Source organism: Homo sapiens, chromosome 9 (genome assembly GCF_000001405.40).
Source record: "Homo sapiens chromosome 9, GRCh38.p14 Primary Assembly".
In the NCBI taxonomy this organism is placed as follows: Eukaryota; Metazoa; Chordata; class Mammalia; order Primates; family Hominidae; genus Homo; species Homo sapiens.
In genome coordinates, this window is record NC_000009.12 from 87,937,573 (window position 1) to 87,953,982 (window position 16,410).

The 16,410-nt window shown below is 44.3% G+C and overlaps 1 long non-coding RNA gene and 1 pseudogene across 1 annotated transcript in view, besides 1 other annotated feature; both read right to left on the reverse strand.

The window, feature by feature from the left end:
• The window catches only part of LOC497256 (uncharacterized), a 71,588-nt gene extending 69,900 nt beyond the window's left edge, over window positions 1–1,688 (reverse strand). Inside the window, exon 1 of the long non-coding RNA NR_149022.1 lies at window positions 1,327–1,688. This is a non-coding gene — a long non-coding RNA (uncharacterized LOC497256). The remainder of the gene's footprint in view (window positions 1–1,326) is intronic.
• A 4,815-nt stretch (window positions 1,689–6,503) lies between these two features.
• On the reverse strand, window positions 6,504–7,451 carry LOC645937 (zinc finger protein 598, E3 ubiquitin ligase pseudogene; annotated as a pseudogene).
• Window positions 14,066–14,919: an enhancer, noted in NCBI's record as "H3K4me1 hESC enhancer chr9:90566553-90567406 (GRCh37/hg19 assembly coordinates)". NCBI's record gives its function as "activates a minimal SCP1, AML or CMV promoter by ChIP-STARR-seq in primed H9 embryonic stem cells {active_cell/tissue: H9 hESC(primed)}" and the evidence as "EXISTENCE:reporter gene assay evidence [ECO:0000049][PMID:30033119]".

The window sequence follows — 16,410 nt, forward strand, 5'->3', positions numbered from 1 at the left end:
CGTCATCTGCAGGCTAAACCATACCACAGGCAACTCCTCCTTCTCCTCCTTCAGCCTGGCTTGGAGCAGCTGGGCAGGCAAGCCCGAAAAGCCCAAAACAGGATTCAGGGAGTGGAACCGTTAGAGCCTCACCTTGTCACACTGGTGACTGGGTAGCAGGGATCAGTTTCATTGAAGGCACTCACACCCACCTTCCAAAGTCCAGCCTCTCCTTCTGTCAAGAGCTGGCCAGGAACTGGGGCCTGGGGTGGGAGTGAGTGCCTTCACTGAAACCAGCCCCTGGCCAGGTCCACCCGGCCAGGAATTACTGGGCCCGCCAGGGCTGCCTTCCTCGGGGAGCCTGAGTAGGAGAAACTCAGACCCAGCCAGCCCTCCCCACCCAAGGGCTGGTTCCCATTCCTGACGCCTCCACCCACAGTGCCCTGTCCCCCACTTCCCCCGTGGTGCCTACTCCCTGCCCAGTAGTCCCAGGTGGTCTCTGCAACACAGAGCATGAGGGCGAGACAGGAAACCACAGTGGGTGTGGGGGCCCTGCGGTGCAATCTAGCTCAAGCAGGAGAAGATCTCCTTCTAGAGTCTGGAGTCTGCCAAGAGGAGAACGATCCCTTACTTGGAAGCCACCAGAAGGCAGAAGGAGGCCATTGCTGTCGCTGCCTTTGCCACCTCCTCAGCTCGCCAACACCGCTGGCAGTGTAGCCCCCGTAGCACCCCTAATCTGCCCCCTGCTACTAGCAGTGTAGCCCCCAGATAGCACATCCAACACACCCTACAGTTTCAGGCAATGTAACCCCAATACTCCCCCCCAAAGCACTCCCCCCACACCGCAGGGAGTGTACCATCCGATAGTGCCCACAATCTGACCCAGCCACAGGTGTTGCTGCACTGGATAGCGTCCCAAACCCGCCTCCCCCCACTCCACCACAGCAGTTCAGCTCCTGATGGCGCACCCCCCAGTCACAGGCAGTACAGCACCCAACAACGCCCCTAAACCACCCCCCACTGCCAGCATTGTAGCCCTGGGTAACTCCACCCAACCCACCCCCTGCTGCGGGAAGTGCAGCAGAAGATAGCGCCCCTAACCCTTCCCCAGCCACCAGCAGTACACGTTAGTGTACACAACCTGCCTCCCGCCACCACTCCTGCCACCGCGGGCAGCATAGCCCCAGATAGCCAGTCAACCTGCCCCACCACCAGCAATGCAACCCCGGAGAGTGCCCCCAACCAGACCACTACCACAGGCAGTGTAGCCTCTAGCAGTGAGCCCCAATAGGACACCCAACCCTTACCCCCAGAGACGTACAGGGCAGCCCCGGAACACTCACCTACCCCAACACATTTCTACCACTGTGGCCGAGCTGCAGTCTCCGACGTCACCACCAACCACAGCAAGGCGAGCTGCCACCAACCACAGCGAGGTGAGCCACGGTGGCACAGGCTCCAGCCTCCAGCATGTGGCGTTCCCTCTTCCTTCTCCTAATCCTCCAGCCCGGCAGAAGAAGCTCCCGCTGCCAGCCGCCCTCCTACTGGTCTGTGGCCACCACCAACCGCAGCGAGGTAGTGTCCCAGGCTCCAGGGATCCAGGTTCCATCCGTTCTCCAGCCTCCATCAGGCGGAAGGTGGCTACCCCTTCCAGTTCTGTAAGCCGGGCACAGAGCAGCTCCTTAGCTCGACACAGAAGAGCTTGAAATGACCTGACATGACCTCAGCATGCTTTATCTACTGAAGTTATGCAAAAGCGGTTCCTGGACTACACGTTCTGATTGGATGAGAGAAAAAACCTCTAGGCCTACTTTGATTGGACTTTATTTTCATGCTGTGGTTGGTTGTTAAGACTTGCTCTCATCCAATCAGAACATGATCATGAAGTCCAATCAGAGTAAGCCTGGAGGTTTTTTTCTCATCCAATCAATACATGCAGTCCAGGATCCTCCGTGGGCATAACGGCAGTATATAAATGATGCTGAAAAGAAATCTGGTCTTTTCAGGTTCCCGTACTGACGTGTCGAGGTGGTCGCATCCCGGCGTAGAGGACTAGGAATCGGGAGTCACTGGCCATATGCTGGAGGCTGGAGACGCGGGAGCGTGGCTTGCGTCGCTGCGGTTGTTGGCAGCGATGGAGATGGCGCGGCTGGAGAGGTAGAAGAAGGAAAACAGTTTTGGGATAGTTGTAGGGGGGTAAAGAGGGTAGTTAATGCCAAAGGGAAAAAAAGGATAGCTTAGCAGGAGAAGGGGTTGCAAAAAGATGGCGGCGAAAAGATGGTGGGGAAAAAAGTTTTTGGGTACATGGAGGCGGAAAAACAGGGTGGGGAGCGGGAGGGAGGGAAGGTTTTGCAGAAAGCCGGTGGGTAAAAAGTGTTTCGATAGATGGAGGGGGGAGAGAGTGACGAGGAGGAGGAAAGAGGGTGGGGAGAGGGAGCAGGGATTAGAGGGTTGGGAAAACGACGGGAAAATAGTTTGGGGTAGATACAGGACAAAAAAGAGGATGGCAAGCAGGATTGGGGAAAGAAGAGCACGAGTGGTAAAGGGGGGAGACTTTGAAAAGATGGTGGGGAAAGTTTTGGGGGGTGGATGGAGGGGGGAAAGAGGAAGATGAGCAGCAGTGGGGAGAAGGCTTTGTGAAAAGATGGGGGAAATGTTTTTGGGTAGATGGAGAAGGGAAAGAGAAATGGCAAGGAGGAACGGGGGGAAAGACGATGAAGAACACAGTTTTTGGGTGGATGAAGGGGGAAAAGACGGTGGTGAGCAGCAGGAGTGGGGAGAAGGTTTTGGGAAAAGGCGGGGGAAAATGTTTTTGCTTAGATGAAGGAGCAAAAGAGTGTGATGCGGGAGGGGTAAAAAGAGGGTGGCCAGGGATAAGAGGAAAAGACGGTGGGAAGAAACAGTGGGGAAAGGGTTTGGGTCGGTGGATGGGGAAAAGGGTGTTGAGCAGGAGAGTAGAGAAGGCTTTGTGAAATGATGGTGGAGAAAAATGGTGAAGAAGTTTGGGGGCAGATGGAGGAAGAAAAAGGGTGGCCAGAGGGAGGGGGTCAAAGGTGGTCGGGAAAAGAAGGTGTAGGGAAATAATGGTGGGGGACAAAGGTTTTGGGTAGATTTTTTTAATAAGATCGTTTGTATTTTTTCTTTTGAGTAGTTTGAATTCTTTATATATTTTGTGGATGAATCCGTTGTCTGATGCATAGTTTGCAAATACTTGCTTCCATTCTCTGGTTGTTTCTTCATTTTTAAAAAATTTTAATTTAATTTAATTTTTTTTAGACGGACTCTCGCTCTGTCGCCCAGGTTGGAGTGCAGTGGCACGGTCTCGACTCACTGGAAGCTCTGCCTCCTGGGTTCACGCCATTTTCCTGCCTCGGCCTCCTGAGTAGCTGGGACTACAGGTGCCTGCCACCACACCCGGCCAATGTTTTTGTATTTTTAGTAGAGACGGGGTTTCACCGCGTTAGCCAGGATGGTCTCGATCTCCTGGCCTCATAATCGGCACGCCTCAGCCTCCCAAAGTGCTGGGATTACGGGCATGAACCATTATGCCTGGCCTTAAAAGGCTAATTTTTGTCTTAAGATTTGTGGTAAGGAAGGAGAAAGAAACAAATTAGTAATCACAAATATACATATAATCACAATATGCAGTAGGTTCTATAAAGGAAAAACAGGGTGTTATGTGGAGTTTAACAAGGACAGTGAGTTATAATAGTAGGTTCCATGGAGAAAGTCACCTAAGAAAGTTATACTTTAGCTCCAACATGAAGAATAAAGACAAATGAGGCAGGTACGGTGAGTGAGGAGCAGTGGCCCAAACAGACCAGAGAGTGAATGGCCTGACAGGAATTTTTTGGAAAGAATTTGAAGGAGGTCAGTGGGACTAAATCACAAAACAAAGGAGGATGCCAAAGAAAGGGTGTGGACATTGGCTGGGCCTCGTCAGCTACTATAAAGATTTTTTTAAGAACCCTAAATGCAAAGGAAATCATTCCCAGGCTTTTAAGCAGGGGCATGATATTATCTGAATTGCATTTTAAAAATCTCACTCTGGACATTGTATAAATGATAGATAGCAAAGGAAAAGGAGTAGCTTTGAGGGAAAAAATGAGGAGCCTGGGAAAACAGCAACTCTAGGTGTGAGATGAAGACTGACAGTGCTTCAGAGTGTATTAAGAACATAGGGCACAAAAACATATTAAAAACGTGAAATAAAAAGCACACATCTTAGGCCGGGCATGGTGGCTCATGCCCATAATCTCACACTTTGGGAGGCCAAGGCAGGCTGATTACTTGAGATTAGGAGCTCGAGACCAGCCTGGCCAACATGGTGAAACCCCATCTCTACTAAAAATACAAAAATTAGCCAGGCATGGTGGTACACACCTGTAATCCCAGCTACTCAGGAGGCTGAGGCACAAGAATCACTTGAACCTGGGAGGCAGAGGTTGCAGTGACCCAAAATCACGCCACCGCACCCCAGCCTGGGTGACAAAGCAAGACTCAGTCTCAAAAAAAAAACATAATAAGATGGGGAGGACTAAAGACAACGAGGATCTTAAAAGTAGTCAGAGGAAAACATACCAGGAATAATCAGTTGCATTTTTAAATACCAGCAAAAAGTTACATTAAGTAGATTTTTAAAAAGATACTTAGAATAACAAACACATGATCAATCTATTATATACATGGCATGATAAATTTAGACTGTTCAAAATATATAACACTTTAGTCAGAGGTATTAAAAGAAAAACTGAATAAAGTTATGATAGATGATCATGGATGGGAAGACAGTAACATAAAGATTTTGGTTTTCAAATATGATCATATATGCAATACAATTTCTGTCAAAATAATGACAGATTTTTATGGAAATTCCAAAAATATCTTAAATTTTATATGAAAGATAAGAGGGCCAAACATAGCCAAGACAATTTTGAAGGAGAACAAGGCAAAAATTAGCACAGAGAGGGCATGTTTTAAGTTTATAATAAATTTGATAGGTGATAATAGAGCAAAGATAGTGGTTGTATAAGAGAAGAGAATACAGGCTAAGGAACAGAATCACAATCATAAGGAAATTTTATATATGACCAAAGTGGCATTGAAAATAATTTGGGGCTGGGTGCGGTGGCTCACACCTGTAATCTCAGCTCTTTGGGAGGCTGAGGCAGGTGGATCACTTGAGGTCAAGAGTTCAAGACAAGCCTGGCCAATATGGTGAAACCCTGTCTCTACTAAAAATATACAAAAATTAGCTGGGTGTGGTGGCACGTGCCTGTAGTCCCAGCTACTTGGGAGGCTGAGGCAGGAGAATAGCTTGAACCTGGGAGGCGGAGGTTGCAGTGAGCCAAGATTGCGCCACTGCACATCCAGCTTGGGTGACAAAGCGAGACTCTGTCTCAAAAACAGAAAAAAAAGAAAATAATTTGGCAAAAGAATGGATATGGCAGGGCGGCTAAACACTGGGTTTTTCAAGTTGTTTTGATTATTCTAGGTTACCTGCTTTCCTATATAAATTTTAGAATCATCTTGTCAATCTTGTCAATACATACAAAAAATCCTTCTAAAAGATTTACTGAGATTGTTTTGAATCTGTAGATCAATTTGGGGAGAATTGATATCTTAAAAATATTGAGTCTTTGACCATGAACATGTGTCTCTCCATTTATTTAGGTCTTCTTTAGTTCCTTTTATCACTATTTTGTAGTTTCAACGTATATCTCCTGCATATACTTAATTGGCTTTACATCTTAATATTTTATATGTTATTGGTACCTTATAAATTGTACTTAAACATTTTTAAATTCAGTTTTTTGGCTAATGAATACAAATGCAATTGATTTTTGTGACCTTATGTCTTGTGATCTTCCTAAACTCAGTTATTAGTTTTGGTAGTTTGTTGTTGAATCTATAGAATTTTCTGCATAAAAATAAAACATGTAATCTTCAAATTAAAGAATTTTACTTCTTCCATTTAAATAAGATCACTTTCTATATCTTATTTTTATTGGCTAGAATGGCTAGGATCTCTAATACATTGTTGAATAAGAATGAAAGGGTGGTCATTTTTGCTGTGTCCTGATATTAGAAGAAGAGCGTGTGTGTGTGTGTGTGTGTGTGTGTGTGTGTGTGTGTGTGTGTGTGGTATTGCAAAATAAATTTATTTGAAGATAAAATGTCTTATAAAAGGTCAGAGGCAATTCGAGATCCCAGATTCAGCTTGTCTCATAAAAAGATTCAACTTCAAGTAGCACAATTTCTTGTCTGCTTTTAATCCTGAACATTCTTGAAGCACGAAACAGCCAACTGTTTACACAACACACATATGTGACATCTTGACTCTGGCACCAGTGGCGCCGCAGCTTTCAGCTCTGAGGCCGCAGGGGCTGCAGCCCTCAGCTTCGGGAGGGCCCAGATCAGGCCACTGTGACCTTTGGCTTTGCCAGCAACAACAGGTCCCAGCATCCCAGCCCTTCCCTCCCCTGGCGCCTCCCAAAAGCACAAGAATGCAAACCGAGACTGGCCCACCACTGAGGCAGGGGTGGACTCCCGCCTGAGTGTGCCAACAGGGCAGGTGGACCGTCCTGGTGACTTCCTGGTGGGCCTGGCCAACCAAGAGGCCAGGTGGCCTCACCGGGCCTGACCTGGCTGCCTGGCAGCCCGGAGAGGAAGGAGGAAGGACGCTCATGGTGCAATAGCTCTGGCCACGCTGGCAGGAGCTACGTGATGATCCTGGAGATGGCTTGCAGGGAGGGGAAGTCGTCGTCCCGGGCAGCATGCAGCGCCTGGTGGCTGCTGGCGTCGCCATGCGTGAGCACCTGCTGGCAGGTGGGGCACACACGGCAGTCCAGGCCCGCCTGCTGGGTGGTGGCCTGCCACGCACTCTTCTTGTTGTTCTTGGACTTGGTGCTGAGAGTCTTCTCGCGGTTGCCGAAGTCCGTGTGTGCAGACAGGATCTCCTGCTGCTTGGCCGTGTCGGGCAGCAGGACCAGCAGCTCATTAAAGACCTTCTGGAAATTCTCCCCCAGCAGACCCCGGCAACTCTTGTAATACTGGGCTGCGGAGATCAGGCCCTGTCTGAACTCCCCTGAGTGGCTCTTGAACTCGCTGAAGCGGGCCTCGTCGCTCTGCAGGAAGTCCCTGATGGACTGGATGAGCTGAAGTTTCCTCTCCCAGAAGTTCTCGGGGACTAGGTAGGCCCGTGGGGCAGGCGGCGGCCTGGGTGCTTTTGTGGTGGTGGTGGTGGTGGTGGTGGTGGTGGTGGTGGTGGTGGTGGTGGTGGCGGCGGCGGGGTTGGGGGCTAGGCAGAAGGCCAGCGAAGCCGGGGGGCGGCTTGCTGATTGGGGGCACCAGGCCTGGTGGGGGAGGGGGAGGCGTGCCCTTCAGGAGCACCACAGCGCTGAAGCCTGGGGGCGCGGCATCCGGGGTGGGCGGGGGCCGCCGAGCGCTGGGAAGTCCTCCTGTGGCGTGGGAAGAAGAGCATTTTTTCACTAAATACGATGTTAGTTGCAGGTTTTTGGTCAGTATACTTTATCAGGTTGAGGAAGTTTCTTCAATTCATAGTTTCCAGAGAGTTTTTAATCAGGAATTAATATTGGATTTTGTAAAATGCTTTTTCTGCATCTGCGGACATGGTCATAGAATTTTTCATCTTTATTCTGTTAATATGGCACATTATATTAATTGATTTTCAAAATTAAAGCAACCTTGTATTTCTGGGATAAACCCCATTTAGTCATCATGTATGAACTGTTTTATATATTGTGTGATTCATTTAGCTACATTTTTATTAACTGGATAATTCTTGTGTCTGTGTGCATGGTGGGGATTATCATCTGCAGTTTTATTTTCCTGTAATATCTATTTTCCTGTAATATCTGCTCTGAAACCAAAAAAGGTTTCAGAGTAATGCTGGCTGCTGTGGTCTGAATGTTTGTGTTTCCCCCAAAATTCACTGCATTGAAACCTAACCACCAATGCAATAGTATTAAGAGGTGGGAACTTTAGGAGATGATTATTTCGTTAGGGTGGAGACCTCATAAATGGGATTAGCGCTCTCATAAAAGAGGCACAAGGGAGTTCATTCACCTCTTCCACCTTGTGAGGACACATAGCAGGTGCCATCGATGAGGAATTGACAGATGCTGAATCTGCTGGCACATTGATCTTGGTCTATCCTTACTCCAAAAGTGTGAGCAATAACTTTCTTGTGTTTATAGATTACTCAGTATAAGTTATTTCGTGATAGCAGCCTGAATGGACTGAGACACTGGCTTTATAGAGTAAGTTGGAAAATGTCTCCTCCTCTTCAATTTTCTAGAAGAGTTTGTGTATAATCAACATTATTTACTCCTTAAATATATAGTGCTATTTGACAGTGAAGCCATATATGTTTAGGGTTTTCTTTGTGGGTATGTTTTTAACTATGTTTAATTTTTAATAGATATATTTATTCTTGAGTGCCCTTTGGTAATTTATCTATTTCAAGGAATTTCATCTAAGTTGTTGAATATATTAACATAAAGTTGTTAATATTCTCTTATATCCTTTGAATATCTGTAGAATCTATGACTTTATTAATCTCAAAGAACCATTTTTAATTCATTTCTTTATATTTTTTCTCTTTTCTATTTCATGGTTACTAATCTTTATCTGTCCCTTTGGCTTATTTTCTTTATCTTTCCCTTTGGCTTATTTAACTTTCATATTCTCTTCCAATTTGTTGTGCTTATTGTGTATGTCAGCTTAATTTTTTAACAGCTTTGCTGAGATATCATTGATATATTAAAAACTATATATATTTAATGTGTACAATTTAATGAGTTTGAACATATGCATATTCTCGTGATACTATCCCTACAAAAGTTTTCTTGTGTCCTTTTGTTGCTTTTTGTTTATTTGTTTATTGTTTTGTGTGTATGTGGTAAGAACACTTAACATGAGATCTTAAAATTTTAAGTGCATAATACCATATTGTTGACTGTAGGCACTATGTTGTACAACAGGTCTCTAGAATTTACTCATCTTGTCTAACTGTAACCTTATACACCCATTCAGCAACTCCCCATTTCCCCCTCCCCTATCCCCTAGCAACCACTATTCTATTTTCTACTTCTATAAGTTTGACTATTTTAGATACCTCATTTAAGTGGAATCATGGAGTATTTGTCTCTCTGTGACTGAATTCATTTAGCATAATGTTTTCTATGTCCATCCATATTGTCACAAATGGTAGAATTTTCTTTTTTTTAAGGCTGAACAGTATCCCATTGTATATATATATATATACTACATTTTCTTTTTCCATTCATATATCAGTGGATATTTGGGTTGTTTTTGTATCTTAGTTATTGTGAATAGTGTTGCAGTGAACATGGGTGTGTAGATATCTCTTAGAGATCATAATTTTAACTCCTTTGAATATATAACCAGGAGTGCAATTGCTGCATCACATAGTAATTCCATTTTTAAGTTTTTGAAGAATCTCCACAGTTTTCCATCGTGGCTGTACCATTTTACATTCCCACCAATAGTGTACAAGAGTTCCAATTTCTTCACAACCTCACTTTTATCTTTTGTTTTTTTTAATAATAATCATCCTAACAGGTATGAGATTGATATGGTTTGGCTGTGTCCTCACCCAAATCTCATCTTGAATTGTAGTTCCCATAAACTCCACATGTTGTGGGAGGGACCTGGTGGGAGGTAATGGAATCATTGGGGGTGGTTTTTCCCTTGCTGTTCTCGTGATAGTGAATAATTCTCATGAGATCTGATGGTTTTATAAAGGGCAGTTCCCTGCACACGCTCTCTTGCCTGCTGCCATGTAAGACATGACTTTCTCCTCCTTCGCCTTCCACCATGATTGTGAGGCCTCCCCAGTCATGTGGAACTGTGAGTCCATTAAACCTCTTTTTCTTTATAAATTACCTAGTCTTAGGTATTTCTGCATAGCAGTGTGAAAATGGACTAATACAGAAATGATATCTCATTGTGGTTTTCATTTGCATTTCCCTAATGATTGATGAATTTGAACACCTTTTCAGACACTTGGCCATTTATGTCTTCATTGGCAAAATATCTGTTCAAGTTCTTTGCTCATTCTTAATTGAGTTATTTGAGTTTTCACTATTGAGTTATAGCAGTTCCTTATATATTTTAGAAATTAACCCCTTATTGGTTGTATGGTTCGTAAGTATTTTCTCCTGTTCTGTAGGTTGCCTTTTCACTCTGTTGATTATTTCCTTTGCTGTGCAGAAGATTTTTGGTTTTATATAGTCTCACTTGTTTGTTTTTGCTTTTGTTGCCTCTGCTTTTTGTGTCAAATCCATTAAATCATTGCCAAGATTTAATTTCATGAAGCTTTTTCTTTACTTTTTTCCCAGGAGTTTTACAGTTTCAGGTCTTACATGTAAGTCCTTAATCCATTTTTATCTTTTTCTAGTATTTTAAGGTAGGAAGCTGAAATCACTGATTTGAGAGCTTTCTTTTCTAATACAGACCTTTTGTCTGCACTCCACAAATTTTGATACATTGTGTTTTGATTGTCACTGTAATCCCAGCACTTTAGGAGGCCAACACAGGTGGATCACGAGGTCAGGAGATTGAGACCATCCTAGCCAAGCTGGTGAAACCTTGTCTCTACTAAAAATACAAAAATTAACCAGGCATGGTGGCGGGTGCCTGTAGTCCCAGCTACTCAGGAGGCTGAGGCAGGAGAATCGCTTGAACCTGGGAGTGGCAGTTGCAGTGAGCTGAGATCATGCCACTGTACTCCAGCCTGGGTGACAGAGTGAGACTCTGTCTCAGGAAAAAAAAAAAAAACTTTCTAATTTCCCCTTTGATATCTTTGATTCATGGTTTAATTAGAAGTGTGCTGTTTGATATCCAAGTATTTGGAGATATTCTAGAGATACTGTTATTGATTTTTACTTTGATTTCACAGTGGTCTGCTATATATGATTTAAATCTTTTTAAAATTAATCAAGACTTGTTTTATGGCCAAGAATACAGTCTATCTTGGAAATCTTATTAGTGCATTTTAAAGGAACATATGTTATTGGGTAGAGTATTAATATTACAGCAAGTTTATATATATAGTTTATATATACATAAACTGTATATATATACACATTGATACATATATACACACATATATACATTGATACTATATATATATACACACACATTGATACATTGTGTTTCAATGGTATATGGTAACAGGAAGCAAATTATTAGAATGGTAGAATTAAGCTCAGTTACGTCAATAATATCAAATGTAAATGGCCCATATACATATATATATATATATATAGAGAGAGAGAGAGAGAGAGAGAGAGATGGAGTCTCACTCTGTAGCCCAAGCTGGATTGCAGTGGTGTCATCTTGGCTCACTGTAACCTCTGCCTCAGGGGCTCAAACAATTCTCCTGCCTCAGCCTCTCCAGTATCTGGGACTACAGGCATGCGCCACCACACCCGGCTAATTATTTTGTATTTTTAGTGGAGATGGGGTTTCACCATGTTGCCCTGGGTGGTCTCAAACTTCTGAGCTCAGGTGATCCACCTGCCTCGGCCTCCCAAAGTGCTGGGATTATAGGTGTGAGTCACCGCGCCCAGCCGATAATGTTTCAGTCTTCTATGTTGTCACTGGTTTTCTGTCTATTTTTATTTTATCAGTTATTGAGAAAAAGGTATTGAAATCTCCCCAGTATAACTTTGGATTTTTTAATTTTTTTCTTCTAATCCTATATGTTTTTGCTTCATGTATTTTGAAATTATTAGGTACATAAATATATACAATTGTTATAAACTTTTGATTAGTTGACCCCTTATCATTATGAAATGACTCTCTGTAACCCTGGTAATTGTCTTTTCTCTGATGTCTACTTTGTTACTGATTTAGCCACTATAGCTCCTTTTGCTCAGTGTTACCATGGTATATCATTTTCTGTGTTTTTACTTTTACCTCTTTGCATCTTTATATTTAAAGTGTTTTTCTTATAGGAAGCATAGAGATGAATCTTAATTCTTTATCTAATTGAACAATATCTACCTTTTAATGGGGCTGTTTAGATGGGCCATTTACATTTAATATTATTGACATAACTGAGCTTAATTCTACCATTGTAATAGTTTGCTTCCTGTTTGTCCCATCTTCTGTTCATTCCCATTTCTGTCTTTTTCTGCCTGCTCTTGGAATGAGTAGGGGTTTTTTTTCCAACTTTTATTTTAGATTCAGGGTGTACATACGCAGATTTGTTCCAAAAGTATATAGCGTGATGCTGAGGTTCAGAGTATGATTGACTATTACCCAGGAAGTGAGCATAGTATCCATCAGTTAGCTTTTCAGCCCTTGTTCTCCTCTCTATACCTCATCTCGTGTTCCCCAGTGTCTATTGTTCCTACCTTTATGTCCATTTGTACCTAATGTTTCACTCCCACTTGTAAATGAAAACGTGGTATTTGGTTTTCTGTTTCTGCATTAGTTCACTTAAGATAATGGCCTCCAGCTGCTTCCATGTTGCTGCAAAGGACACAGTTTCATTCTTTTTTATGTCTGCATAGTATTTCATGGTGTATATGTATCACATTTTCTTCATCCAGTCCACTGTTGATGGCCACCTGGGTTGATTCCATGTCTTTACTATTGTGAATAATGCTGCAATGAAGATACGCATGCATGTGTCTTTTTGGTAGAATGGTTTGTTTTCCTTTGGGTATATATCCAGTAATGGGATTGCTAGGTCAAATGGTAGTTCAATTCTTACTTCTTTGAAAAATCTCCAAACTGCTCTCCACAGTGACTGAACTAATTTACATTGCCACCAGTAGCATATAAGCATTCCCTTTTCCCCACAGCCTTGCCAGCATCAGTTGTTTTTTGACTTTTTAATAATAGCTATTCTGACTGTTGTGAGATAGTATCTCATTGTGGTTTTGATTTGGAATTCTCTGATGATTAGTGATGATGCACATTCTTTCATATGTTTGTTAGCTGCTTGTTGAGCTTCCTTGCCACCTAGATTCTGAATTCTCTGTCATTTCAGCCATTTCAATCTGGGGAGCTAGTGTGATCTTTTGGAGGTAAATAGACACTCTGACTTTTTGAATTGCCAGCGTTTTGTACTGATCCTCATCTGAGAGGGCTTATGTTCCTTTGTCTTTTTGAAATTGCTGTCATTGGATGTGGCTTTTTGTTTTTATATGTTTATTTCCATTGAAGGTTTGACTGTGCGGTATGTTGAGTATAGTTGATAGGTTTAGTTTCTAGGTGCTTTCAGAGGGCCAAGGCTTCCTACAGGATCTTTATTTGTGGCTAGACACCTGCATTGGCTTTCACAGGTGATGTGCGCTGAAGGCATTTTCGTTTGGTGGTGTAATTAAAACCATAATCCAGTAGATGGTGCTAAAGTGTAAGGGTCAGCAGATAGGCTCTCAGCCACCTGCCTCCTCTGTATTTTAGCATGTTTGCAGCAGTACTCTTGGGTGGGGGAGACTGAGGAGGGGGCAGTGAGAGATGACCCCCTCACTAAGTGCATTCTCAGGCCTTAGGGAAGCTCCTCCAATCACTGGCATTGCCCCCATGTTTCCTTAGCCCCAAGGGGGGCTCTGGCAGGCTGCGCTCCTGCCTCCCTTAGGGGCAGCCTGAACTGAAGGTTAGGACTCCAGGAGACCTGCAGCTCCCCAAGGGCCCACTGATCCTCTGTGCTTGGCAGAGTCCAAGCAGGCTGTGGGTTATGTCTGCAGGTGTCTGTGGATGCACTGGGTCAAGGGTAGAGGATCCCTGGGGAGGGTGGTGTTGCTGTGGGTGTGCAGCTGGTGTGGCACCTGTGGCCCAGGGTTTTTTGCCCAGCAGATGGCTGTGGGAACCACCCAGCTTGTGCTACCCAGACTGGGTCTCCTAGTGTCTGCCCTGGAGCTGGCCTAGCCAGCTAGTTTTGTCCCAAGCCTTCTGCACTAGATCTTTGGGTTGTTAGGTGCTCTAGGCTTTGGGACACCCTTGGGCAGAGGCTGCAGCTGGCAAATAAGCTGCATCCTTTTTAGACCAGTGTTACAGGGGGAGGCAGGCCTAGCTCCCACACTGTCCCATGAACCTGTGCCGCACTCTTTTCAGTGTTCTGAAAGTGGAGGCTCCTCTCTTGCTCAAGCTCCAGTCACAGATCTCAGCTCAATACTCCTGAGCTATATTCTCACACCCTGGCGGTTTGGGACTGGGCCTGCAGCTTTGTCCTGTTGAGTTGAGCATTGGCTGTGCTGGGGGAGCCAAAGTGTTCCCAGGCAAGGCAGTGGAGGCTGTGCTTTGTGCATGCTCTTGCAGGAGCAGCCAGGCAAAGGCTTTAGGAGGGGCCAGTAGATGCTGAGCAGGGGGCAGGGGGAGTCGGGGGAGGTCAGATGCACCCTGGTCCCACAGGAAAGACAGCCCTGCTCTCTCCTGCCCAGCATTGAGCAGGGGCTAGAGCCACTCGGCGCAAGACGGAGTGCCTTGGAGGATGGGCACCTATGATTGTGTTTTGCTGCAGCTGCCCTGCACACAAAACCTTCTGGCTCCACGCAGGCATGAGCTCTGCCTCTGGTTACTCTCTGGCAGTTCCCCGGGCATGACCCCACTGTGGGGCCATGGCATCTCTTGTGGCTATAGGATCCCAGAAGCCCATGGCAGGAGTGTGTTGCCCATAGTTCCTTCACTCACCCTCCCTTAGGACCTGTTCAGGGCCAGGAGCTGGGCAACTCTATGCAGGGTTCTCAGCTTCCTCCTTCTTTCTGGAATGAGTAATTGTTTTAGCTTTATTTTTATCTCTTTTGTTGGCTTATTAGCTGTAACTGTCTTTTTTATTTTTTGTAGTGGTTGCCCTATGTTTGTTTATACTTCTTCGTCACTAACTTTCTGTAATATTATACTACTTCATGTGATAGCATAAGGACCTTACAATAGTATAGTTCCATTTCTACTCTATTGGCTTTTTTGCTATTATTACAATATATGTTACTTCTACAGATATCATAAACCCCACGATGTATTATTACTATGCTTTAGAAAGTCTTCCAAAGAGAATTGTAAAATAAGAAAACATATATCATTTATATTTACCCACATACTTACTATTTTTAGTGTTCTTTTTTTTTTTGAAATGGAGTCTCACTCTGTCACCAGGTTGGAGTAAAGTAGCACAATCTCGGCTCACTGCAACCTCCACCTCCTGGGTTCAAGGGATTCTCCTGCCTCAGCCTCCAGAGTAGCTGGGACTACAGGTGCATGCCACCACACCCAGCTAATTTTTGTATTTTTTTAGTAGAGACAGGGTTTCACCATGTTGGCCAGGATGGTCTTGATCTTTTGACCTCGTGATCTGCCTGCCTCGGCCTCCCAAAGTGCTGGGATTACAGGCATGAGCCACTGTGCCCGGCTCTAGTATTTTTTTTTTTTTTTTGAGATGGAGTCTCGCTCTTTCGCCCAGGTCGGAGTGCAGTGGCGCTATCTCCGCTCACTGCAAGCTCCGCCTCCCGGGTTCATGCCATTCTCCTGCCTCAGCCTCCCGAGTAGCTGGAACTACAGGCACCTGCCACCGCACCCAGCTAATTTTTTGTATTTTTAGTAGAGACGGGGTTTCACCGCGTTAGCCAGGATGGTCTCGATCTCCTGACCTCCTGATCCGCCCGCCTAGGCCTCCCAAAGTGCTGGGATTACAGGGATGAGCCACCGCACCCGGCCTCTAGTGTTCTTTATTCCTTTGTGAAGATGCATATATCCATATGGCATCCTTTTCCTTCTGCCTGAAGGACTTCTTGTAACATTTCTTATAGGGCACATGTGCTGGTGATTAATTCATTCAGATTTTCCCTTTCTGAAAAAAAGTGATTATCCTTGTCTTTCATTTCTAAAATTAGTTTTTGTTGAGGATATAATTCTAGGTTGACAGTTTGTTTTGTTTTTAATTTTAATACTATAAAGATGGTGCTTTTGTTTTTTTCTAGTTTAATTTGTTTCTTAGGAGAAATCTGTTATTCTTTTTTTTTTTTTTTCGAGATGGAGTCTCGCTCTGTTGCTCAGGCTGGAGTGCAGTGGCACAATCTCGCCTCACTGCAACCTCCGCCTACCGAGTTCAAGTAATTCTCCTGCCTCAGCCTCCTGAGTAGCTAGGATTACAGGCACACACCATCATGCCTGGCTAATTTTTGTATTTTTAGTAGAGATGGGGTTTCACCATGTTGGCCAGGCTGGTCTCAAACTCCTGACCTCGTGATCCGCCCATCTCGGCCTCCCAAAGTGCTGGGATTACAGGCAAGAGCCACCATGCCTGGCCTCTTCTGTTATTCTTATTGCTCCTTTATATGTAATATTATTTCTCTGGCTGTTTTATCACTAGTAGTGAAAAATTTTATTATGATATGCTTTGGTTTTATTTTCTTCTTGTTTCTTGTTCTTCTGTTT